The 25,203-nt window shown below is 56.7% G+C and overlaps 1 protein-coding gene and 1 long non-coding RNA gene across 6 annotated transcripts, besides 7 other annotated features; one reads left to right on the plus strand and one right to left on the minus strand.

Moving 5' to 3' along the window:
• Positions 819 to 1,516: an enhancer, noted in NCBI's record as "H3K27ac-H3K4me1 hESC enhancer chr11:2884189-2884886 (GRCh37/hg19 assembly coordinates)". NCBI's record gives its function as "activates a minimal SCP1, AML or CMV promoter by ChIP-STARR-seq in naive H9 embryonic stem cells {active_cell/tissue: H9 hESC(naive)}" and the evidence as "EXISTENCE:reporter gene assay evidence [ECO:0000049][PMID:30033119]".
• Positions 5,016 to 6,784: a transcriptional cis regulatory region, noted in NCBI's record as "candidate enhancer chr11.592 targeted for multiplex CRISPR interference". NCBI's record gives its function as "positively regulates CHRNA10 gene expression in K562 cells {active_cell/tissue: K562}" and the evidence as "EXISTENCE:mutant phenotype evidence [ECO:0000015][PMID:30612741]".
• Positions 6,784 to 7,292: an enhancer, noted in NCBI's record as "H3K4me1 hESC enhancer chr11:2890154-2890662 (GRCh37/hg19 assembly coordinates)". NCBI's record gives its function as "activates a minimal SCP1, AML or CMV promoter by ChIP-STARR-seq in primed H9 embryonic stem cells {active_cell/tissue: H9 hESC(primed)}" and the evidence as "EXISTENCE:reporter gene assay evidence [ECO:0000049][PMID:30033119]".
• On the plus strand, positions 7,893 to 9,965 carry KCNQ1DN (KCNQ1 downstream neighbor). The gene is made up of 2 exons (NR_024627.1): positions 7,893 to 8,724; positions 9,705 to 9,965. It is a non-coding gene; the product is annotated as a KCNQ1 downstream neighbor (long non-coding RNA).
• Positions 20,853 to 21,352: an enhancer, noted in NCBI's record as "H3K4me1 hESC enhancer chr11:2904223-2904722 (GRCh37/hg19 assembly coordinates)". NCBI's record gives its function as "activates a minimal SCP1, AML or CMV promoter by ChIP-STARR-seq in naive H9 embryonic stem cells {active_cell/tissue: H9 hESC(naive)}" and the evidence as "EXISTENCE:reporter gene assay evidence [ECO:0000049][PMID:30033119]".
• Positions 21,078 to 23,635, minus strand: CDKN1C (cyclin dependent kinase inhibitor 1C). 5 transcript variants are annotated; one of them, NM_001362475.2, is made up of 4 exons: positions 23,494 to 23,635; positions 23,062 to 23,326; positions 21,859 to 21,994; positions 21,078 to 21,770 (listed from the first exon to the last, which is right to left on the minus strand). In NM_001362475.2, the coding sequence occupies exons 2-4, from the start codon at positions 23,314 to 23,316 to the stop codon at positions 21,634 to 21,636; spliced, it is 528 nt and encodes a 175-aa protein (NP_001349404.1). In that variant the 5' UTR covers positions 23,317 to 23,326; positions 23,494 to 23,635; the 3' UTR covers positions 21,078 to 21,633. The 5 variants fall into 5 exon arrangements, with proteins under 5 accessions (NP_001349404.1, NP_001116103.1, NP_001116102.1 ...); NM_001122631.2 differs by having other exon boundaries at positions 22,530 to 23,326; NM_001122630.2 differs by having other exon boundaries at positions 21,078 to 21,775; positions 22,530 to 23,326.
• Positions 22,625 to 23,460: an enhancer, noted in NCBI's record as "H3K27ac-H3K4me1 hESC enhancer chr11:2905995-2906830 (GRCh37/hg19 assembly coordinates)". NCBI's record gives its function as "activates a minimal SCP1, AML or CMV promoter by ChIP-STARR-seq in naive H9 embryonic stem cells {active_cell/tissue: H9 hESC(naive)}" and the evidence as "EXISTENCE:reporter gene assay evidence [ECO:0000049][PMID:30033119]".
• Positions 23,461 to 24,296: an enhancer, noted in NCBI's record as "H3K27ac-H3K4me1 hESC enhancer chr11:2906831-2907666 (GRCh37/hg19 assembly coordinates)". NCBI's record gives its function as "activates a minimal SCP1, AML or CMV promoter by ChIP-STARR-seq in naive H9 embryonic stem cells {active_cell/tissue: H9 hESC(naive)}" and the evidence as "EXISTENCE:reporter gene assay evidence [ECO:0000049][PMID:30033119]".
• Positions 24,297 to 25,132: an enhancer, noted in NCBI's record as "H3K27ac-H3K4me1 hESC enhancer chr11:2907667-2908502 (GRCh37/hg19 assembly coordinates)". NCBI's record gives its function as "activates a minimal SCP1, AML or CMV promoter by ChIP-STARR-seq in naive H9 embryonic stem cells {active_cell/tissue: H9 hESC(naive)}" and the evidence as "EXISTENCE:reporter gene assay evidence [ECO:0000049][PMID:30033119]".

The following is a 25,203-nucleotide window of genomic DNA, read 5'->3' on the forward strand; positions in this document are numbered from 1 at the left end:
GGACCCCTGCGTCCTGAGAAATCCTTTCCAGGAGTAGGCTGGGGAATACCGGCCCAGAGGGGCGAGGACCGGATGGGGGCAGGGGTAGGGTTCAAGGGGCCAGGGTCCCAGGGGCTCTCCTGGAGGCTGCAGAGGAACCCAGCCTGGGTGGGGGGCTCCGACGCTCCACAGCCTGTCCTGGCCCGGCCAGGCCCGGCCCGGCCCGGCCCCCTGCCCAGTCGCGGCACTGCCCGGCCCGACCCCCAGACCTTCGGGGTGCCCAGTCCGAGCCTGGGCCGCTAGGGGCCGCGGGCCTGGCGGGCGGGGCGGGGGCCGGGGTCGGGGGTCCGGCGAGCTTTAATGCGCGCACAAAGCCTCATTTGCAGGTCAATGCCGCGGCACACTCGCCTCTCCCCTCGCCCGGCGCCCTTTGTCCGGCCGCGCCCGCTCCTCGCGCCAGATGGCCGCGGAAATGCTAATTTCGGGCGCCCCTGCCCCCCCACCCCCGCGTTTAATTGCGCCTTTGCAGATGGGCCGCGAGTGTGCGCTTCATGCAGATGAGCGCGGCCTCGCCGCCTTCCTCGGACCTCCGGGAGCCGCGGCCGGGCGTGCTGGGGCCGAGGGCAGGGAGGGGGCCGCTGTCCCTCCACTCGACGCGCCGCCGGGCACGGGCGGGCACCCAGCGGCCCGGGCCCGGGAAGCGCGCTTCTCTCTTTTCATTTCTCCAAAATGGGATCTTAAGTGATTCTGAATGAAAACAAATTGGCCCGCTTTCTTCTCCAAACAGACGCGCGGCGCGGTGGGGGCGGCGGGCGCGGGCCCGGGGCGGCCCGGGCGGTGGGGTTGGCTCCGGGACCCCCTGCCCGGCCCGGCCCTCGCGCCTTCTCCCCGCGGCCCGCCTTCCTCAGCCCTGGGCCGGCGGCACTTGGAGGCGGCCGGGCAAGACGGCAGACGTGGGGGCCCCTTTAACCGGAGCCAAGGATCCCCGGACTTTCTGACCAACCAGGAGCAGAAGCCCGCCAGGTCACCCTCGCCTTTCATGACAGAAACAGATTCCCAGGCTGGTCGGAGCGCAGAAATGAGGCAGGCCAGGGCCGGCCTCCGCCACCCCGCCCATCTCCAGCCCCAGCAGGAGCCTGGCCCAGGCCTCTGGCCCCACAGCGCCAGGGAGCATCCTCCGGGAGCCCAGGCCTGCCTCGAAGCCTAGGGCTGGGGCAGGCTGGGCAGAGTGAGGGAGGGAGGCAGTTTCTTTGTGATGTGTCCACTTTACTAGCAAAATTTCAACCACAAACTTAGAAAACCTATACATTGGTGGGTGATTCACTTGCTCCACCACCAGCGATGAAACAGAGACAGAGCCACGTTCTGGGTAAGTAAGAATACTCCCAATACAAAACTCAGCCACAGACCTTTAAAAAGAAAAGGGTGCCGGGCGCGGTGGCTCACGCCCGTAATCCCAACACTCTGGGAGGCCGAGGCGGGAGGACTGCTTGAGCGCAGGAGTTCCAGTCCAGCCTGCACAACCTGGCGAGGTCGCATCTCTACAAAAAATCTTCTGATTTTTTTAGCCAGGCGTAGCGGCGCGCCTGTAGTCCCAGGAAGGATCACTTGAGCCTGGGAGGTGGAGGCTACATAGAGCCATGACTGTGCCACTATACTCCAGCCCAGGTGACAGAGTAAGACCCTATCTCAAAAAAGAAAGAAAAAAAAGAGAAAGAGAAAGAAAGAGAGAAGAAGGAGGAGGAGGAGGAGGAGGAGGGAGGAGGGAGGAAGAAAGGAAAGAAAGAAGAAAAAGAAAGGAAGAGAAAGAAAGAAAAAGAAGAGATAAAGAAAGAAAAAAGAAAGAGAAAGAAAGAAAGAAAGAAAGAAAGAAAGAAAGAAAGAAAGAAAGAAAGAGAAAGAAAATCATCTGTTCCTGAAACATTCTGTGATACTTTCGTAATTTGCTCAGCCAGAGGACTGAAAGTGCAGGCGGATCCCTCAGCCTTGGGCTCAGCTGGGACTGAAGTCAGCTGACAGAGTGAATCTGGCCCAACTGCCACCAGTCTGACTCTGGCACCCTGGCCCTGGCGTGACCTTCACAGCCGCACCCCCCACCCCCCACCTCCGCCTCAATGCCCACCCTCCAGCTCCACATCACTGAGCCTGCCCTGCTGCGCCCTTGCACGGGCACCCTGGCTGCCAGCTCTCCTCCACCCATTCCTCCTCTGAGTGTCCTCAGGCCCCTCAGGGGCTGCTCTTCCCTGGACACCCAGGAGCCTCAACCTTTGCCCTGTGCCACACCTCCCTCACCTGGCTCTTGAAAGGAGTCCCATCCACCTTCCCCTCAGGGTGAAGCTCAGGGCCTGGCCCACACCCCTGCTGGTACTCAAGGCCCACCTGGGGGACCTAATGGGGGGTTCCAGTAGACACCGAGGCCGAGGCCGGAGGGCTCAGCCACCCTTGTCACCCATCCTGCAGGGCACTGTCTCATGGGTGCCAGCACAGTGACATGCCGTGGGCTGGGGGAAGCTGGCTCATAGAATATGCACGGCCAGGACGCACCGTGGAAATTTCCATGGTCACGGGATGGAAACCATTTCCTATCAATAAAATAACAGGTGCCCCGTCAGAATCCCCCTTTCATTTCTTTCCAGGAAACAGTTCAAATGGGATGGTTACACCCATTTGAGACAAACATCTCTTGGTCCTAACCCCTTGTGGTTGCTTCATTAACCAGAGGCCTCCATCTTCCTCTGGGGAAGACAGTGCAGCCCAGCTGCCCTCCGCCTCCAAACCCTCCCTGGGCCCTGAGGTGCCGTGTGGACCCACTGCTGCAATCGCCATGTTCACCCCACACTCGAGGGTAGACCCAGAGCATTTGAACTGTCCTCGTACTCCCTCGGCCACTTCTCAACAACAGCGCATTCCCAATCCTGTAACCTGGGGCCTTTCCCTAACACATTTAAAAGACGCCAGCCGCCTTCTCCCGCCCTAGCACTGTCACCAGCTGCTTGTACTCAACTCTCTGCCAAACTGTTACTTTGTTTATCACACTCAGATTACGGGTCTCTTGAACAGTTTGTTATGGTTAAATACTTTCAATTAAAACAGTATATGTTTGTGTGTGTGTATACAAATAGATAGACATTCTAATACTTTAAAATAGGTACTTTGAGCTGGGCACAATGGTGCACACCTGTAGTCCCAGCTACTCCAGAGGCAGAGGTGAGAGAATCTCTTGAGCCCAGGAGTTCCAGTCCAGATTGGACAACATAGCAAGACCCTGTCTCTATTAAAAATATACCTTTATGCCAGATGCCTATAATCCCAGCACTTTGAGAGGCCGAGGCAGGAGGATCACTTGAGCCCAAGAATTGGAGACCAGCCTGGACAACATAGGGAGACCCTGTCTCTACAAAAAAAAAAAAAAATTAAAGATTAGCTGGGCATGGTGGCACACACCTATGGTCTCAGCCACTCGGGAGGCTGAGGTGGGTGGAGGGCTTGAGCCCAGGCGTTGGAAGCTGCAGTGAGCCATGATCGTGCCACTGCACTCCAACCTGGGTGACAGAATAAGATCCTATCTCAAAAAATATTTTTTAATTAAAATAAAATATGTGCTTTGGACTTAAAAAGTAAATGTGAGTCCCATAGATGTAAAATGATATAGAGCCCCAAAGTGCCATCTGCGCTTATCTCAGGATAGCAGCATCTATCTGGGGGAATTTTTACTGTCTTTTTTATACATTCCCATATTGTTTGCATTTTTTTTTTTTACAATGAGCATATGCTGCTATTTCTACAACCAAGGGAAATATATGGCTATTTTCAATTTGGAAATCAAAAGAAATAAAAAGCCCCACTGGCTTGCCAGCCCTGTGACCTGGGTGCTGTAGCAATAATGCCTGGAACTGGCCCCAGCCGATGAGGGACCCCAGCCACAGCCCATGCCAGAGTCCACTGTCAGGACCATCTTACGAGAGGGGCTGCCTCAGAATGGAGTCCTGGGGGCACCTCAGTAACTAAACCCCCTTGGATGGAAGCCAGGCCAGACCCACTCAGTGCCAAATTCCACTCGGGCCTGCTCTCAGTTCCAGCAAAATTCCAAAGTATATTGTTGTTATCGTTATTATTTTGCAATTACGTGACATTTTTTAAATGCCTAGACTGTTTTCTCAGCCATTTTCATTAGCTCCTTCTCACTCTGCCCAAGAGACACTTCAGCATTGTGTCTGCCACTGGGCAGGCTGGCCAAGGCTCAGAGAGGTCAACTAACCTGCCTAGGTTGCACAGCAACAGAGCAGCGGGTGCGAGAGCAGACGTCAGGGCTGGGCCCAGGTCATCCTGCAGAGCTGGGGGGTGGGTCTCGCTGTTGGGCCCTGTTGGGCTTTTATTCAGATTTAGGAATTTCTTGGGGGGCGGGGGCAGGGGCAGATTTGGGAAAGAGAAGAAAAAGTAGGAACGAGAGAAGAGAGAAGAAAAGGCAAGGAAAGCCCAAGGCCGAAGCAAGAGAGCAAAATAAGCAGAAGACACCACGGGTGTGGGGCTGGCAGCACCGCACTGAGAGCCCCTGGCAGGGAACCAGCCCCTGGAGGTGCCCCTGCCTTCTCCCCACAGCCTGGCATGGTGCCGGCTTCCAGAGGAGCCTCGTTTCTCAGTGAGGGGGGCGGGAGGGGGTGAGACAGCATCCGTGTCTAGACGCTTATCCTTTGAGGAGAATACCAGGGTCCCCAAATGCCACTTGAGATCTCTCTGAAATGCAGGAGGCCCTGGAGCCTGCATTTGTCATCAGCCTCAGTCACCACACCTACCCCCAGCTCAGGAGCAGGTGCCACAGCTCAACCTGGCTCTCATGCTGAACCAGGTCCCCAGAGGTCTGGACATTGCCACTCACCAGCAGGCATCCCGGGCCACAGGGCAGGACGCCCAATCTGGAAGCCCAGTGTTATGGGAGGAATCGTATCCCCCAAAAATCATATGTCGAAGCCCTCACCCCCAGCACCTCAGCACATGACTGTATGTGGATACAGGGTTTTACAGAAAACAGTTAAAATGAGGCCATTGGTGTGGGCCTAATCCAACAGGACTGGGGTCTTTATAAGGAGAGGAGGACACAGGCACACTCAGAGGCATGACCCTCCCAGGACACAGGGAGAAGGTGACGTCTGCAAGCCAAGGAGAGAGGCCTCAGGAGGAACCAGCCCTGCCGACTCCTTGATCGTGGACTCCAGCCTCCAGGACTGGTAGATGATAAACATCTGCTGTCTCAGCAGCCCTGTCTGTGATGCTTTGTGATGGCAGCTCCAAGGCAGGAATACACCCAGCATCCACAGAGGGATTACATCTGTCCAGGCCCGCACAGCCAGGGCAGACAGAGAGACCACACCCCAGCCCTCCAGACCAGTGGAAACCCCCACGTACCCCTGGCTCAGAGACCTTCTCTGACTGAGCGCATGAAGCTGGCTCTTCCTGGCTAGTTTCCCTCAGATGCATCATCCCAACACCTAGGGGCACATTGTGCAAGTAGAGAGTCCCCCAGTATACCATTTTCCAAGGCAGAGACAAAAAAAAAGCCATGTGCAGAGTTGACGTCTGTATACCCCTAATGCTAATTGGGGACAGTGGCATTTAGTTCTGAGTGGCTGACGGCTTTGGTGACCTGGACAATCAGGGCCTGCCTGAAGAACCAGGGGCTGCCGGAGGCGCTGGGCCTCCCTCCCACTCACCGGGGCCTTCATTAACAGCCGCGTCCAGACCAGCTGGAGTCAGCTGATTAGCCCATTCTAAGTGGCATTGGGAGTCCCCCCACCCCCTGTATCTATTTTTTCACCCGCACATGTTCAATTCAATTTTGCTTTTGTGCCAGAGAGGCCTCTGATGTGAGTGTTTCTGGGGAGTTTTTCCATGTTTCTTTATGTCCTCGAAACCAAAGTCAGTCACCAACTTTCAGAAAACACCCTCCTGGATTGAAGCGGGTAAGAGGAAAGAAAAACACACAACACAAAACAAAAGCAAAAGAAAACAAAAGAGAAAGCACTGGCTGCCTTTCTACAGAATCCTCCTGCGAGGAGACAATTCATTTCAATTGAAACGTTTCCATTGTGCGGCATTCGGAACGCGCTCCTCGCGTTGGGCAGAAATGCAAATCCCCCTTTTTCCTTTGATTCAAATATTTAAATTTTCAAATATATATGCTGCGACAATTGAATGGCAGCTGACCTCACTTATTTTCATAGAAGCAATGCGGAAGCCACAGGCTGCAGTTAATCTCGCCAGCAGCGCCCCGCCTGCTGACAGCGGTACGGTCAGTCCTGGGGGGGCGCAGGGAATAATCCTTTTATTCAGACATTTGGCTTAAAAGAATAACAAGGAGGAAAAGCTGGAACATAATTGCATTGCATGGAAAACAGAGAAAGATTTTTTTCTCTCTCTCTAACAAGCTTTCTCCTTTTCCTTCCTCAAAGAATCGGAGGCTCACGGCCAGAGGCTGTTTTCTTGGTAAAGAAATCGGGAGTGTTTTCCTTCCACTATTGTCCCCACTCCCGCCCACCCCCCGAGGGATTTTCATAGTTGGGTTGGCTGCCACACTGGCTCATCCATTCATTCATTCATTCACTCACTCACTCATTCTGCAAACTCGGAAGGAAGACCTACTGTCTGTCCAGCTCAGCTGGGCTGGGGGCAGGGCGAGCCAGACACTCCCCAGGCAGCCTTCCTCTCCTGGACTGGGACGCCCCCACAGAGCCACACCGTGACCCTCGGAGGCACCCTGAAGCATAACTGGGCCAACCGTGCCTGCAGGAAGCCCCTTTGTTCCTCCTTGGGGCCCCAGAGCACCTGAGTGAAAGAGTCTGAGACCGGAGGGGCAGCCAGAGGGGGCCCTGGAGGGAGGCGGAGGGACCCCCTCCCTGGGCCAGCCAGGCCAGCGTCTGCCAGAGTCGCTGTTGCTAAGTCCTCTTCTTGCAGCCTGGGGATCCCAGAGGACCCCGGCCCAGTCCATCAGCTGGGCTGGGTCTTTAATATTTAAAGAGCTCTCCCGGACATTTCAAGAACTCCCCGACACGATTTTCTGTGATGCGTGGGCTGTCGGGACATCTGTCTTCTATACCTAATAAAGTCGCCCGACGCAGAATGAACTCCTCGGCATCGCTTTGAATCCGGGCTCACATATGGTTGCTAATTAGCTGGCTATCTCTTGGAGTTAAATGATTTTTTTTCTCGCCCCGTTCGCATCCATAATAGACGCGAACAGAGTCGTGATTGTTCCCTGTTGCGGGACATTCTGCGCCTGAATGAGCGGGGGCTGCTGTGTCGACGCGGATTTGCCATATGGTTGCGCGGAGCCAGGAAGAATGGGCCCCTGTGTGTGCGACCGGGACGCAGCGGCGCGGGCCGTGCCAGCCGGGCGGAGCCGGGTGCCCGACGGCGCAGGACGAGCGGGCGCAGGACGAGCGAGCGCAGCGGGCGCGGGCGCACCGTCGGGGCGCGGGGACCCCGAGGGCCAGCGGAGCCGTGCTGCGCGCAGGGATGGACGCTGGGCGCCCAAGGCCCGTTCCCGTGGACAGGCGCGCGGAGGGCAGCAGGACCGATGCACCGACGGACGCACCGACGGACGCGCGGACAGATGCGCCGACCGCAGGCTCTCCCGCCGTCCCGGGGCCGTCGTGCCCGTGCAGGCCGCGAGCAGCGGCGGGGCCGGCTCTGCGGCTGCAGCAGCCCCATTGTGAGGCCGGCGAGACAATGGGCGGCCCGAGGAGGCACCTGCTCGCCTGAAAGGCCCATAAATCGCCGCCGCGTCCAGCTGCCTTCCCGCCCCTCCCCGCGGACCCGCTAGCGGGAAGCGCGGCCGCGGCCGGGAGGGGGAGGCTCGGTCCGACAGTCGGGCAGGGCCGCCTGGGCCACCGCCGCGCGCTCCCTCCCGCCTGGGCGCAGCTGCCCGCACGCCCCGACGGGAGCTGCGCCCAGCCTCCCCTCTGGAGTCGGCGCTCCAGGCTGCTGCCCGGCCGGTGGCCAAGGCCCCAGCACCACCGTCCCTCCTGCAGGGCATCCAGCACCTACCCTTCCACTGGGCGGCTCCTGGTTCTGGTCCCGGCTGGCTCACTCAGGCTGCCTTTGGACCAGATTCTTGAACTTTTCCACCAAGGATGTTGCTGCTGTTTGTAGCGTCGGATCCTGGAAAATCGCTGTGTTGGGGAGCAGCAGGCTCTCCCTTGCTCCCCCAGGGCCTGGGAAAATCAACCCACCTCTGCCCCCCGACCCCAGGGCTGTAACCTGGTGTCTGGTAGCCCCACTGTGATAAACCGAAGCCCAGCACAGTTTGGGACTCGCCCCGAGTTGACTTATGCAGCCCCCAGAACAGAGGCTGAAACCCGGCGCATCCTGGTGAAGCCACACCCAGCCGGCCTGGTCCCAGGCCCCGGGCACGGGGTCCCCTCCACTCCCATCTGCTTCCCTTTCAGAGCCGGGGCTGAGTCGGCAGGGACGCAGGCTCAGGGCCCTGGATTCCCGCTTTCTGGACACTTGCGTGCATGCCCAGCACCAGCTCGCCCTTCTGAGAAAGCAATCCCTCCTCAGAGGGGAGAAGCCGTGGCTGTGATGGGCAGGAAGTGGTCAGGACCCACTGCCGAGCACCAACTCCCCATGCCACCACCAGGGGTGCGCCTGGACTCCTGGAAAGGGGTCGCGTCAGGGTGCAGCCCATCAAAGGCTTCCCAAGAGGCAAGAGGCAAGGAGAAGTGTCCTACTTTAAACGGCCAGCCTCAGGTGAGCACCAGAGATCGGGCCCAGACCTGTGTAGAGAAAAGGAGGCAATGGCCCCTGGCTACAGACAAGGACCCTGAGGCTGCCCTCTTCCCTCTGCACCTTTGGTTAGGCACTGCCTCTCTGTGTGGAAGGAGCAGGACTCGGTCCCAAGACCATTTGGCCACGCTGTGCCCTCGGGACCAGCACGTGCTGGCACCCCGATCCCACTGGGACTCTCTTCCAGGAAAAGGCTTGTGTTCAGTTCCCAGGGCTCTGCCAACACCAGCCCTGTGCTGGCTGCCTGCAGCAGGCACCCCATGGGGACCACATCCCTGGGCCTGGAGGAGCTGGCTGAGACAGAGGCGGGCCCGAGGCCAGGCCTTTGCCCGCCACTGCTGCTCCAGGCACTCCTGGAGGGCTCTGAGCATGCTCCTTAGGTCTCCCGGCTGCAGGGAGGACACTCACTCCCACCCCCAGGTGTCTGGTGCTTTGATTTTAATTATTTCTAGCCTTCCAGTGCCATCTCTTATCGCCCCCTCCCCAGTCTCCTAATAAAGGGCCAGCGCCCCCCGCCTTCCTCTAGCCTCCCTGACATATTAGAAGAATGTTTTTCCATTTCCTTTGATGTCTGTTACAAGTTGCATCTCATTTCCTGCTTGGGCATTTCTGACCTCGAGTGACTCCGGCCGCCGTGGCTGCGTGGCTGGTCTGCTCCTCATACCCCGCCCAGACGCCAGCTTGAGAGGATTTGGTCCTCCGTGTGCCGCCACCGCCAACTCAGTTTCCCCCTACCCTCCCCACTTTGTTTTCTGGGGCTCCAAGGGGGAGGTCAGGCCCTCAACCCTGTTTCCATGGAGAGGGCTCCTCACGGGGGGCGGGGGGGCATCCCTCCATGGGACAGGGAGGGCTCCTCACGGTTGAGGGGGGCGCCCATCCTTCTATGGGGCTTCCTAAAGACCTGCATTCTTCCCTTCATTTTTCTGGGATTACTCCCCTTTCAGTGGTCGGCCCTGTTCACTCTGCCACCTCAGAGAGAGTGAACCCAGCAGAGGTGTGACGGGAGGCTGGGGAGAGACCCCAGCACCTTGAGCACACAGGAGCCAGGAGGAGCCCAACAGAGCAGCAGGGGCTGGGGTCTTCTCCTGAAGCCTGACTCCATGGGACCCCAAAGAAGCAGATGGAAAACTGAAAAAGAAAACCCCTCAAGTGAGCCACTGGAAAGAAAGCAAAACAAGAGAAAATAAATGAGTTGTTTGACATAATTTAACTTGTCTGTTTTTCCATCTTCCTTCCTGCTCACCCCACCATCACCGTGGCCCCATCTAGTTGAGGCACACAGCTCTGGGCTTAAAGGAACCAAGGGGCATGTCTCAGAGCAGTCTCCAAATTGGGTGCTAGGACCCAAGAAATGCAGAGAGGGCAGTGGCTGTGAGAGAGGTTTGCATAAGAAAACAGACAAGACAGAACTTGGTTTTATCTTTTTTTTTTTTTTTTTTTTTTTGAGACAGAGTTCTGCTCTTGTTGCCCAGGCCAGAGTGCAATGGTGTGGTCTGGGCTCACTGCAACCTCTGCCCCCCGGGTTCAAGCGATTCTCCTGCCTCAGCCTCCCTCTCGAGTAGCTGGGATTACAGGCGCCCACCACCACACTCAGCTAATTTTTTTTTTTTTTTTTTTTGTAATTTTAGTAGAGACAGGGTTTTGCCATGGTGGCCAGGCTGGTCTCGAACTCTTGACCTCAGGTGATCTGCCCGCCTGAGCCACCCAAAGTACTGGGATTACAGGCATGATCCACCACGCATGGCCAGTTTTGCCTTAAAACCACAGCTAGACTCCTCCACAGGGACCAGGACCTAGGCCATGTCTGTCCTGGCTGCAGAGGTGGGTCAGCCCCATACAGTGCTCTCTGGAAGAGAAACAGGGAGCAGCGTGGCTCCTGCACAGAGGCACCTGGCTGGCCCTTGGCCTACTGGTAGCCTCCAAGGGTAGATGCCAGGTATCTCAGTCCATTTGTGCCACAGTAACAAAATACCTGAGACTGGGTGATTTATTTTCTATTTTTTATTTATTTATTTATTTATTTATTTTTGAGATGGGGTTTTGCTCTTGCTGCCCAGATTGGAGTGTGATGGCACGATCTTGGCTCACTGCAACCTCTGCCTCCCAGGTTCAAGCGATTCTCCTGCCTCAGCCTCCTGACTAGCTGGGATTACAGGCATGTGCCACCACACCCGGCTAATTTTGTATTTTTAGTAGAGATGAGGTTTCTCCATGTTTGTCAGGCTGGTCTCGAACTCCTGACCTCAGGTAATCCACCCACCTTGGCTTCCCAAAGTGCTGGGATTACAGGTGTGAGCCACTGCGCCTGGCTAATTTTCTAGGTTTAGTAGAGATGGGGTTTCTCCATGTTGGTCAGGCTGGTCTTGAACTCCTGACCTCAGGTGATCCACGAGACTGGGTGATTTATAAATAACAGAAATGTATTTCTCACCGTTCTGGAGGCTGGGAAGTCCAAGATCAAGGTGCCAGTGCAATCAGGGTCTGGTGAGGGCTCTCTGCTTCCAAGATGGCACTGTGTTGTAAGTGAAGCGAACGCTTTGGGAAGCCTCTTTTATAAAAGCTTTAATCTCACTCAGAGGGAGGAACCCTCAGGCTTAAATACCTCCTAAAGGCCCTATTTCTTTCTCTCTTCTTTTTTTTTTTTTTTTTTTTTTTGTGAGACACAGTCTTGCTCTGTTGCCCAGGCTGGAATACAGTCGTACCATCTCAGCTCACTGCAACCTCCACCTCCTGGGTTCAAGCAGTTCTCCCTGCCTCAGACTTCCAAGTACCTAGGTAACAGGTGCCCACCACCATGCCCAGTTAATTTTTGTATTTTTAGTAGAGATGGGGTTTCACCATGTTGGCCAGGCTGGTCTCAAACTCCTGACGTCAGGTGATCTGCCCACTTCGACCTCCCAAAGTGCTAGGATTACAGGCGTGAGCCACTGTGCCTGGCCCTTTTTTTTTTTTTTTTTTTTTTTTTTTGACAGGATCTGGCTCTCTGGCTCTGTCAACCAGGCTGTGGTACAGTGGCACGGTCATGGCTCACTGCAACCTCCACCTCCCAGGCTTGAGTGATCCTCCCATCTCAGCCTCCTGACTAGCACGCATCACCACACCTGGCTAATATTTCTTTTTTTGTAGAGAAAAGTTCTCCCTACATTGCCCAGGCTGGTCTGAAAATCCTGGGCTCAAGCAATCCACTCACCTCAGCCTCCCAAAGTGCTGAGATCACAGGCTTGAGCTACTGCGCCCAGCTTCCCACTTACATTAATACTATCACATTGGCCAGTAAGTTTCAGACACGAATTCTGGAGGGGACATAGTCAAACCCAGCACCAGGTCTCAGGTGTCCTTACTTCTCCCTCTGCAATTCCGGCTTCACCACAGCCCTCAGGTGTAAGGCCTTGTTGTCCAGACCATGTGCTTTTTCCCAGGACTGAGAGTGAAGTGCTGAGGTTGCATGATAAAAACCCATGTGACTATATGACCATTAAAGTGAATAGCCCCCAGAGCACTGGGCGGTGGGGACCGGGGCTCCCTCCTACACAGACAGACCAATTAAGGTCTTCCAGGCCTGCATGTAGGCCAGGCTACAGGGATGGAATCAGCACCCAGCTAGAGCAGAAGGGTCTAAAGGAACCAAAAGGGGTTCTGGGACAAATCTCAAACCATGGGCAAGCTTCGCTCAAGCACTCAAGGAACATTCGAGCTAGATGGGCCCTCAGAGACTCTGATCCTATGTTCTCCTTTCAGTGAGGGAAAATTGAGGCCCAGGGAGGCTTCTGCACCCTAGACAGGCCCCACTCCTTAGAGGGACCAGTGAGGGGAAGTCAGACCCCAGCAAGACGGAGGAAGTCCCAAATTGGAGACAATCAGAAAGACAACACCAGTGCAGACCCTAAACCAACACCCCACCTGCTCCAAGCTGGGCTCCAGTCGCCTAAGGATGAGCTGGGCCCATGCAAACTCCCTGTGTGTTTCCTGCATGTGGGCCACCAGGCAACCACCCTCTAACTTGAACCCCTGCCCACAGACCCCAGTACCACCCAATGGTTGGCCAGGGGCACCCCCAAAGGATTGGATCATGCCGAAGGTAGCCACAGGCAGATGACAGTGTCAAAGGGAAGGGGGATAAGTGGTTTTTGTTCACGCAGACCATAGGAGTGAAGGTTGTAGCATTCCCAAATGTAAGTCCGCGTGGCTAAGACCACGGGCAGGGCTCCCCAGCTGGCCTGGCTCCCAGTGTCTGTGCATTATCGTGTGCGTGTGAGGCATTTCCACTTGGATTACTATTTCAGCTCCCAAAAATGGATCAGTGGCTCACAGGAGGATCCAGGAAGCAGCAAATATTGACCCGTCAGGATTTCAAGGTGAACGTGGGATGTCCCCTACATGCAGGGACCGTCCACCAAGTGTGACACTGGACACAGGATGTCCTGGATTTGTCCCAGGTGCATGGTCTCTTAAGACACTTGGCCAGATGGTGGCGTGAGGCCAGCAGTGGTTTTGTGTCATTTTCAAGCAAAGCCCAGGGCCTTCCCTGGGAGCTAGCATTGTTATTCTAGAATGAGTGGAAAGGGACACTTTCCAGGGCAAAGCTGATGTGCACCACACTGAAGATGGGAAAGAACCCACGCTGTATCTTCCTGTCCACATTGCATTTGTAAGAATGAAACTTGCGTGAGTTGCACGGAGGAAGAATTTGCAGTTGGGGGAATGCAGTGTCTGGGATCTGCTTTTTTTGTTGTTGGTTTTTTTCAATAGAGACAGGGTCTCGCTATGTTGCCCAGGCTGATCTCCAACTCCTGGGCTCAAGCAGTCCTTCTACCTCAATCTCCCAAAGTGCTGGGATTACAGGCATCACCCACTGTGCTCAGCCAGGGATCTGCTTTATGAAACTGCAGAAAGGAAAAAAAAGTAAAAGTGGAGGTGGGAAACAGATTGACAAGATTGGAAAAATGTTAATGATGGTTGAAACTGGCTGGTGATGTACTATTCTATTGCTTTTGAGTATGTTTGCAAATTTCCATAAGAATGCTTTGTAAGGAAGTAGCAGTGATACTGTTACATATTGCTGAGAAAATGTAAAACCAAATACAAAGTTAACAAAAAGAGATAAATTATGTACATATAGACAATATATGCACACATACATACATGTGTTGTGTGTATACATACACATTATGTGTACGTGTGTATGTCTATAACATATAGACACATACATGTTATGTACACGCACATAAAAGAAGGCAGAAAGGCTGTGGGCAGATACCCTGATCAAGAGTTTTTGTGACATCATCACAGTGGCCTTGCAGCCCTTACTCAGGGGTCCTTGCTGACATGAACTCACAGCAGTGTGCCTCTCAACTAGGCCTGCATCTTTCTAATTTGCTAGACAGGAAGCCACTCCTGGCACTTGGTCAGGTCAAACACAAGAAGTGTTTGATGATTTTTTTTTAATTCTGTTAATTACTGAAAATCCATGCTAGAGGAAAAAAATTGTTTTTATTTTGAATTTACTTATTTATTGAGACAGAGTCTTGCTCTGCTGCCCAGGCTGGAATGCAGTGGTGTGATCACGACTCACTGCAGACTTGACTTCCCAGGCTCAAGCAATCCTCCCATCTCAGCCCCCAAGTAGCTGGGACCACAGGTACACGCCACCACGCCCAGATAATTTTTATATTTTTTGTAGTGACAGGGTCTCACTGTATTGCCTAGGCTGGTCTCAAACTTCTGAGCTCAAGTGATCCTCACACCTTGGCCTCCCAAAGTGCTGGGATTATAGGCTGTTTTGAATTCAGGTAACAATTGCTTGTGGGTCCTGAAGTAAACCCCCCCAAACATGCTGGCTATCAATCAATCACCAGGGTTGGGTTCTGTAAGAAGGGTGTTGGGGCAAAGATGGCTGCAAACCCTTTGCCACTCAAGCAGAAAGGATCCCCCTGCCATGAATCTGGGATGGTGTCAGTAGCTTGCTTGATCAATCAAATGAGGCAGACATGATGCTGCATAGCTTCCGAGGCCAGGTCTCTAGAGCTGCTCCTAGGCCTCCTGGAACACCTGCTCTTGAAACCCAGCTGCCATGCCATGAGGAAGCCCAAGCAGGCCTGCGAAGGGAGCCACAGGCAGCAGCTCCCAGGGCTTTGCCAGGCATGGGAGTGGGCCATATTGGAAGTTGATTCCTCAACCCCAATCAAACTACTCTAGCTGACATCCCATAACACAGAGCCAAGCTATTCTGCCAACTGTTCCCCAATTTCTGATAGAATCATAGGTATAAATAAAACCACTGGGTTTTTTTGTTTGTTTTTTTGTTTTTTTGAGGTGGAGTCTTGCTCTGTCGCCCAGGCTGGAGTGCAGTGGTGCAATCTCGGCTCACTGCAAGCTCCGGCCTCCTGGGTTCAGGCCATTCTCAGCCTCAGCCTCCCGAGTAGCTGGGACTACAGGCGCCCACCACCACGCCCAGCTGATTTTTTGTATTTTTTTGGTAGAGACGGGGTTTCACCACGTTAGTCAGGATGGTTTCAATTTCCTGACTTCGTAATCCTCCCACCTCGGCCTCCCAAAGTGCTAGGATTACAGGCGTGAGCCACCGCACCCGGCTAAAACCACTGTTTTAAACCACAAAGTGTTGGGATAGTTGTTTACTTGGCAGGAGATCATGAGAACAGGTGTAATCATGCTAACAGAAGAGGAGGTACCGGCTGCCTGTCCACACCCGACTTTATGCCTCAGTGTTGAACAGCAGAGTAGTGGCTGTGATTTGGGGCAGAAGGGAATGGTGAGTACACACAGCTGTCTGACACTGGAGCAGGCAAGCCCTGCCAAGAAAGTCCTGCCCCTGAGGGCTTTCAAGTAACAGCTAAGATCAGAGCGTTTTCTTCCTGGCGCCACTAGGTCATCAGAGGCCATTTTCATTTTTTATCCCAAGGGGCTTGCCCATGGAGCAGAGCTTGGTGATATAATCAATATCTCAGCTGCCCCTGAAACAACCACTTCAAGGCTTAAATAACACAATTTTTAATTTTCAGAATAAGCAATTGCGATTTTTTTTTTTTTTTTGAGACGGAGTCTTGCTCCGTCGCCCAGGCTGGAGTGCAGTGGTGCCATCTTGGCTCACTGCAACCTCTGCCTCTCGGGTTCAAGCGATTCTCCTGCCTTAGCCTCCCAAGTAGCTGGGATTACAGGCACGTACCACCATGTCTGGCTAATTTTTTGTATTTTTATTAGAGACGGGGTTTCACCGTGTTAGCCAGGATGGTCTTGATCTCCTGACCTCGTGATCTGACTGCCTCAGCCTCCCAAAGTGCTGGGAGTACAGGAATGAGCCACCTCGCCCAGCCACTTTTTTTTTTTTTTTTTTTTTTTGAGACAGGGTCTCGCTCACACTGTCGCCCAGGCTGGAGTACAGTGGCACAACTGATCATGGCTCACTGCAATCTCCGCTTCCCGAGCTCAAGTGATCCTTCCATCTCAGTCCCCCAGGGAGCTGGGACCACAGGTGCACACACACCACCAAAGCTGGCTAATTTTTAAAATTTTTTTACAGATGGAGTCTTGCTATATTGCCCCAAGCTGGTCTCAAACTCCTGGGCTCAAGTGATCCTCCCACCTCAGCCTCCCAAAGTGCTTTGATTACAGGCATGAGCGTCCGCACCCAGCCAGGATTTCTTCAGGATGCTAGAGTGTGGGCAGCCAGCTCCATCTCTGAGACTTTGACCCTTCCCCAAATCACAATCATTTTATTCCTTCATCAAAGAAAAAAAAGATGACTTACTAGACAGTTGTTAAGGCACTCACATAAAACTACACGATAGCAGGATAGATGGTAACCAAGAGGGAACTCAGGACCCGTCACTACCAGCTGGAAACACCTGACCTCCAGCCTGCAAATGTGACAAGCTAGACCAACACCAGCAGGACACTGAACACAGCTTGCAGGGATGAGTCTCTGCGTCATTTCTGGACATGTGTCCAAGTAACCAGAACAACTCAAAATGCCACCAGGCCCTTGCTGTCATTCCCATAAACCTCGAACAGTGAGTTGGGTCTTCAAGGAACCTGTCTCTGTCAGCTTACCTTATGCTGCATAACAAACAGGCCCAAAGCTCTTGGCAGCGTACATCAAGCATGGAGGATCTCTCACTCACCACGACAGTCCCTTCGCTGGAGGGCTGGGGTTGTACTCCATTTTCTCTTTTGGAAGGGGCGGCCCCTGTCTGAGGTCTCATTTGTCTCACAGCAGAGGGATGAAACGGCAGGACCCTGGCTTTGACGGGCTCCATTTGGCAATGGTACATGCCAAGTGGGTCACGTTTCACTGCCCAGAGCAAGTTACATGGCCACGTCTGATATTGACGTGCGGGAAATGCAGAATCTTCCTGCATTTGGGGAGGCAGATATTTGGACAACATGCAATTCATTACAGGGCCAGCTGGATGAAGAACGGCCAAGGGCCCAGGCTCTTCACCCCGAGCCAGGCCGAACCAGCCGGGGCCGTGAGATCAAGCCACGGTCATCAGTGTTCGTTTGGAATTATGCCTTGTCCTTGCCGTGTCCACATTGTAGTAGGGTTTCTGTTTTTTAATTCATCTGAAATTGGTGGTGGGTGTGGTACACAGATGAGAAACAGGAACTCTCCACGCTGGGCTTTAACAGGAGCTGCGGTGGGAACACAAATGGTGCAGCCACTTTGGAAGATAGTTTGGTGGCTCCTTACAAAACTAAATGTACCCTTCACATATGATCCGCCACACACCATCCAGCAATTGTACCCCTTGGTATTTGCCCAGATGAGTCAAAAACTTGCATCCACACAAAAACTTGCACGTGGATGTTGATAGCAGCTTTATTCATAATTGCCCAAACCTGGAAGCCTTCAGGAGGTGAGTGGGTAAACAAACTGTGGTGCCTCCGGTCAGCGGAATATTATTCAGTGCTAAAAAGAAATGAGCTCAAGTCATGGAAAGACATGAAAGAACCTTAAGTATTATTAAGTCAAAGAAGCCAATCTGAAAAGGCTGATGCTGTATGAGTTCACATCTATGACATTATAGAAAAGGCAAAACTACAAAGACAGTAAAAGGATCAGTGGTTGCAGGAGCTAGGGAGGAGGGAGGGATGAATAGGTGGGGCACAGAGGATTTTTAGGGCAGTGAAACTACCTTGTATGATACTGTAATGGTGGACACAGGACAGTAAGCATTTGTCCAAACCCGTAGAATGTACGGCACTGAGAACGGACCCTCCTGTAACCTATGGACTTCAGTTAATAATATTGAACCAAAAAATAACTAACAATAAAACAGTGCTCTTCAGACACCATTACCTGCTATGTCACCTGCTGGGAGCTGGAGGAGGGGCTTCCTAGCCCCTCCTGTTTTAAAGGCTAGGCTGGTGCTTGGCTCAGCTCTGTCCCACCCCCCCACACCAACCACCTTTGTATGCACCACAGCCCACTGGAGGGGTTTTCTGATGTCACCAGTGGAGAAAGCGCCTGCAGCAGGGACTGCTGTCTCTCTATTCATTGCTAAGTCTCTGGTGCCTGGAACAGGGGCTGGCATGCTGGAGCCTCTTGGAGTGTCCACCCAACCCAGTGCCTCTGCCCTCTGCCTGGATGGCCACAGTGTCCTTCTGGTCCCCTCACCCCCTTCCCTCTTGCTGGCGCTCCTCCTTCCTCACCCAGCAGCTGAGATGCTTCTACTACTCCCTGCTTCAGTCCCTCCGGGGCTCCCCACTGCTGGCTGACAAAATCCAATCTTTGGCACCAGTCCATCAGGCCCGGGGAGGTACAGGAGACCAGTAGGACAGGGCAGGGAAGGGGGAGGCCCAGCAGGCACACCCAAAAGACACCCTTACACTGAACCACATGTACGCCCGTGTGCCGGCCTCACACACACCAGCAGGCCAGGCCCACCAAGGCCCCCTGGCACCAGCAGCCTCCCCTGCCTTATCTCTCCTGCCTCACCCTGATCCCCTGGCTCCGACACATTCACCCTTCTCCCTCATCACTTTCATCTGGACTGTCTGTAGGTTAACGGAGCAACTGCCTGTCTTCCCAGCCCAGTCCAGGGGACAGGATAGTGCAATGGTTTCCAGGCCCGGCCCCAGAGCACCCCAGCCCAACATCCCTCTGCCCTGCCAAGGTCAGGAGTGTGACCTCAGGTGGATTACTCCATGCCTCAGTTTCCTCTTCAAACAAGGAAAACAGTGGGACCTGGTTGACGCTGATCCTGCTTAGCATATGCCTGGCACAGAGAAAAGCCATTGCTGTGTGCCTGGCGGTCCTGGTGTCATCGCTCATATGATGGTTGTGGATCCCCAGTGGAGCTGGAGCGTGACTCCCACACGGCAGACCCATGAGTGTGCTGGCTGCCAGCCGGTGCCTGTGTTTTCAGCTTGGATGAGGCCTGGGGGCCAGGACGCACGCTCCTATCTGCTCTTTCCCAACAGCATGGGTGAGAAGAGAGCTTTGCAAACAGTGCCATCAGGTATTATTTCCATGGCTGTCCCCACGTGAGAATCACAGAACACAGTGCTGGAAAAAACCCTGGACGTTTCTCAGCCCAGATGGGGAAACCGAGGCCCCCCAGAAGGAAAGGCTAGCTTGCCTGGGTCACATGTGCCCAGAGTCCCACGTGTGACTAGCAGCCCATGGAGGCTGGTGGCCTGTGCATCCCTGCAGCCAGCTCCTGCCCTGGGGAGAAACTCCTCCTGAGAAATGGCGCTGGGCCTCACCTTCACGTCCCCACAAAGGCCTCACACTGCTTTTGAGAAAGCTACCCTTGAGTGACAAGAGGGTGCTGGGCAACCACATGTCCTGTGCCCAAGGGCCAGGACTGCAAGAAGCTAAGCAAGGTAGGAGCCCCGCCGGCCCCAGCTGCAGCAGGAGGCCTGGCAGCAGATGCAGCTGTGGATGATGAGGCCCCAACCCAGCAGATCGGTCACCACAAACAGTTAACTCAGGTTACGCTGTGCACCCACTAACTGCCTGCCAGGCACCCGGTCCAGCCTCCTCCCAGCCCAAGGCAGAAGGCACTGCCACCCTCCTTTATCTCAGAAGGGAAAAGGCTTTGTCCTCCTCACACAGGTGAATGTGGAGGTTTCTCCCCTGTGGGAGAGGTTGGAAGGCCGAAGCCAGGTCTACATGGGTCTGGTCCCTCATTACCGTCAGCTGAGGGTCCCTGTTGCTGAGCCGAAGCAGCGAGACCTGCCACTCTCAGGTCCCGGGGGCATTTCCCGGAGTCTGGCCCCAGCTGGGCCTCGAGGCCAGGCCCATCACCCTCCCCGCCCAGCCCTTCCAGGCAGCTGGGGGGAGCTCAGTTAATTACATGTCTAAATACATCTCGACCATCTCAAGTTGAGCCCCCCTTTGTCCCTGCCCCCGGTGGAGGTGGGAGGAGGAAGTCAGCAACTGTCACGTAGGGCCCCGTAAGGGTCCACCAGTTCTTTTCTTCTCCCAGCCCAAGGCACCAGCAAAAATACTGCTAGCCGTTCTGTTTTTGCTATTTTACATCACCCTTTCCATTGTAAGCCATAATTTTCAGAGGTTTATAGGTCAGCTATTAAAATAATAAACGTCTCTTTTACTAAGAGGGAGCGCTTTGAAACTCGGGGCTGGTAGGGTGGACAGTGGGGGCGCACAGGGGTGCACTCAGCCTCGACTTCTTCCACCAAAGCCTGGTTATCAGAAGCCACCCCTCCCCATGTCCTCCTGATTCCAGGGCACCTCCCCCTTGTGCTCCCATTTCTGCCTCCCCTCAGAGGCTTCGAGGCTGCCCCTCCTCCACTGCAGGTGTGACTAGACCTTGAACACTTTGAGTGTCTTGTGGCAAGACCTAGGGAGACCCTGGCCCACAAAAACAGGAGACCCTGGTGCAAGGCCTGAAGAAGTCTGGAGGACTGGCTGTGTCTTGGTGGAGCCCTGCTCCACACCCTCCACCTCAGCGCATCCTCAAACTAGCAGGGGCTTGAGCCCATCAGCAGAGGGGTTGCGGGTGGTTTCCTTGAAACAAGCCTGGGTCTGGGCAGCAAGTCAGGGGCTGTGCTCCCTGCCTCCTGGGGCTACATGAAGTCCAGGCTTGTCTTTCTGCAGCCCCGCAGGTGAGAGGTGATAAATGCAGGGTGCAGTGCAGGCCGGCCGCCCCTCCTGAGATAAGGGGACTGGAGCAGGTGGGTGTGGGCCAGGCCCAGCCAGGAGAGAGGCTTCCCCTTTTGGATGGACTGGGGATGCCCACTTTGGGCTGCTCTCTCCTGCGTTCCAGCTCTCCAGCTTTTGGGGGTGCAGGAGAAGGGAGCTGGAGGCAGGCACAAGCACAAACAGACTGGAGTTGCAGCATTTTTCGGCCTCTTTATTTAGAACCCGGCGGACGAGGGGCCGGGGCAGTGGTACAGACGGCTCAGGAACCATTTTAACAGACTTGTCTTCAAGTTTCAGATAAACACAGTCATAATAAGAGAGACAGCGAAAGCGCGAAGAGACTGCAAGCTAGATGGGCATGTATGGCAGCTACAGCTTGTGAGTGACCCCCTTCCCCAGAGTCCGCGATGAAAATAAAGTTACACTTGTCAATAACCAGATGTGGGAGATGGAGAGTGCCTTTGGCATAACCAATAACCGAGCTAGTGCGTGGCAGAGCGGTCCACGCCTGGACATAAATAGAAAATATAAGTTAGTATAACTTTAAAAACTTTTTGTACAAATATACATGGTTTTTTTATTTTTTCCTTTTTTTTTTCTTTTTTCTTTTTTTTGCACTGAGTTTCAGCAGAGATTAAACATTTTATATAAATGACTCTTAAAGCTTTACACCTTGGGACCAGTGTACCTTCTCGTGCAGAATACATTTAGATATAAAAAGACGTTATTAATACATTGCACAGTTTTCAAAATTTAAAAACAAAACCGAACGCTGCTCTGCGGCAGCCGCCGCCGGTTGCTGCTACATGAACGGTCCCAGCCGAGGCCCAGCGCCCTTCCAACGTCCGCTGCCCCGGCAGGTTCCCTCGGGGCTCTTTGGGCTCTAAACTGCGAGGAGAGGGGCGGTCAGCAAAGCCGGCGGGGACCCGGCGGGTCGGCCCTCCGCGCCCCCCCAGGTGCGCTGTACTCACTTGGCTCACCGCAGCCTCTTGCGCGGGGTCTGCTCCACCGAGCCCACGCCAGGGGCGGCGCTTGGAGAGGGACACGGCGCGGGGACATCGCCCGACGACTTCTCAGGCGCTGATCTCTTGCGCTTGGCGAAGAAATCTGCGGGCGACAGCGCGCGCGGCCGGTCAGGGCGGGGCCGGCCCGGAGACCCGAGAGGGGGCCGGGAGAGGGCGCGGGGCGCGGGCCGGCCGGGGTGGGGGCGCCGTCCCCGCCCGCGCCGAGGTCCGCGGCGGGTCAGCTTTGTTTACGTCGCCGCGCAATGTGCTGTGTAAGCATTTCCCCTTGTCCCGCGGCCAAGCCCCCCGGGGCCGCCGCCGCGCTTAACCCCCTCCACGCCGTGCTCACGGCGCCCGGCCGCGCCCGGGGAGGGGCTCCCGCGGCCGGGGGCGAAAACTGCGCTCCCGGGGGGTCGCGGCCGGGATTCAGCCTCCCACCCCGCCCGCGCGAAGCCGCTGGAGGGCACAACAACGGGGCGGGGAGGGGGGTAAGGGCGCAGCCGCGCCCTGAGCGCTGCGGGCCCTTTAATGCCACGGGAGGAGGCGGGAACCCAGCGAGGCCCCCGAGGGCTGGGGGGACCGGCCGGCCGGACAAAGCGGGGCCGGGCCGGGCCGGGGCGGGGCCGTGCGGGGCTCACCGGAGATCAGAGGCCCGGACAGCTTCTTGATCGCCGCGCCGTTGGCGCTGGCGGCCGCGGTGCCGGCCGCGGGACGTCCCGAAATCCCCGAGTGCAGCTGGTCAGCGAGAGGCTCCTGGCCGCGCTGCCCCTGGTTCGCGCCCTGCTCGGCGCTCTCTTGAGGCGCCGCGTCCGGGGCCGGGGCCGGGGCGGGGGCCGGGGCCGGGGCCGGGGCCGGGGCTGGGGCCGGGGCCGCGACTGGAGCCGGGGCCGGAGCCGGAGCCGGAGCCGGGGCCGGGGCCGGGGCCAGGACCGCGACCGCGACCGGAGCCGCGACCGGAGCCGCGACCGGAGCCGGAGCCGGGGCCGGGGCTGGAGCCAGGACCGGGACTGGGGGCGGGGTGGACGCCGGGGCCGGGACCGGGACACTAGGCAGCTGCTCCGGCGCCTCCTCGAGGCCGTCGAGGGACTCAGCGGCCGGCTCGAGGGGCGGGCTGACAGCCACCGCGACCGCGACGGGCCGCGGCGCCAGCAGCAGGCGGCAGCGCCCCACCTGCACCGTCTCGCGGTAGAACGCGGGCACCGAGTCGCTGTCCACTTCGGTCCACTGCAGGCGTCCAGGGCCCCGCAGCGGCATGTCCTGCTGGAAGTCGTAATCCCAGCGGTTCTGGTCCTCGGCGTTCAGCTCGGCCAGGCGGGCCTGCAGCTCGCGGCTCAGCTCCTCGTGGTCCACCGGCCCGAAGAGGCTGCGGCAGGCGCTGGTGCGCACTAGTACTGGGAAGGTCCCACGGGCGACAAGACGCTCCATCGTGGATGTGCTGCGGAGGGACGCGTCGGACATGGCCCGGGGCTGCGCAAACGCGGGCAGCGAGAGAGGAGAGGACAGCGAGAAGAAGGGGAAAGGAGAGGAGGAGAGGGCGGAGGCCGGGCGCAAGGGAGACCCCGCGCCGCCCGACTCTGCGTGTGCGAGGGACGCGGCGGCTACCTGGCTGTCCGGTGGTGGACTCTTCTGCGTCGGGTTCGCCTGTCTCGTCCGGACGGCAGCCGCGCCCCCTCGATGCCTGCTGGCTAGCTCGCTCGCTCAGGCCTGGCCGGCACCCCTCGAGCACAGCGCACTTGGCCTGTGGAACGCCCAGCCCGCCTGCGCCCCCTTTATACGCGCGGGCCCCACCCCCGTGCGCGCGGGCCCGGCCGCGATTAGCATAATGTAGTATTTTCAGTTTCAACAACACCACGGCGATTGGCGGCCGCCCCGCTGCCCCGCCCCGCCGCGGCCCGGCCCCCGCGCACCGCCCATTGGCCGCGCGCACACCCACCGGGGGCGGGGCGGGGCGCGCGGCCGGGGCGCGCGGCTGATTGGCGGCCGCGGGGCGAGCGCGCTGTAGCAGGGGAAGGGGGCGGTGAGCGGGGCGGGGGCGGGAGTTAAAGGGCGCTGCGGGCGGTAACGTGACACCGCGACGCCCGCCCCCTCGCCCCATCCCCCCTGCAACACTCCCCCACCCCCCCGGCTCCCGCCCCCCGCCGGCTCCTTTGTCTGCAGGCGGGGGCCTCAGCCCAGCGCGGCAGGGGCCGGCTCCTGGCGGGTCCGGTGTCCGGCCAGGCCCAACTCGACCCCGGCCCGGTCCGGACCCCGGCGCCCAGCTCCGTCCCGCGCTCGCCCGTGGGCCTCCTGCGCCAGCTGACGAGGCTTGGACCCGCCGCTGCCAGCTCGGCCCTGGCCTGCGCCGGATGGGGTCTTCGGCTGCCCCCGCGCGGCCTGCTGCTGCTGGGCTGGTGTCCCTTCGAGGGCTCCGCGCGCCTGGAGCCCTCACACACCTGCTGGCCCTAAGGCCCTCGAGTCGGGAGGGGGGACAGGGGTCAGCTCCACTCTTTCCCCGAGGGACCATGTGTGGGACACCTTGAGAGACTCCCACCAGCCCCCTGGAGCTGGAGTCTGAAGCCGCTATCTGCGGAGGCCCACCCTGCCCAGTAGATGGAACAGGGGCTGAGCCCATCATGTCACTGTCGGGGGTCCCAGCCCTTCTCAGCCTTGGGCCAGACCACTCCAGCCCCGGGATCTGCCTGTCCAGGCTGGCTGGAAGCTGTTGTACTGGGTAAAAGTGAAAGATCTGCCCGAGGTCATAGGGGAAGGGGCTGTGAAGGACCATGCCCCTCCCCCGCCTGCAGCCCTTCCTGGTACAGACCTCGGTCGTGCGCGCACGCACACACACACACACACACACACGCACGCACACACACGGTGCTTCACCCCAGCCAGGCCAGACCAAAAGAGACCATTATTTCCTGCTGCCTCCCTTTTGGCCCACCTACCATGAGGCAGGGAGCCCCCTCCTCAAACCAGGAGCCTCCCAGATCGGGATGGGGACTGTCAGACACCTGTTGGAGGGTCCAGCAGCCCATGAGATCTAAGCCCCTATCTCAGGTGAGCCTGTGAGCCAGCAGAGAGACCTCTGGGAGGGAGGGAAGGTGCGGTCCCCTGAACCCCAACCAGCCTGCCTTTGAGTCCCAAGACACCCCCACCCCCATGGAATGCTGTGGCAGTGTGCAGCTGCAGCTGGGGGAGCAGGGCGGGTCTTCTGGGTCTCAGGGAAGCGAGATCTGAAGTGAGGGGGGTGAACTGGATGGGACAGGGCGTTAACCCAGGAGAGGGGCCAGGGCCATTCTTGGCTCTTGATGGTGGAACCAAAAGCCATGA

Source organism: Homo sapiens, chromosome 11 (assembly GCF_000001405.40).
Source record: "Homo sapiens chromosome 11, GRCh38.p14 Primary Assembly".
Lineage (NCBI taxonomy): Eukaryota > Metazoa > Chordata > Mammalia > Primates > Hominidae > Homo > Homo sapiens.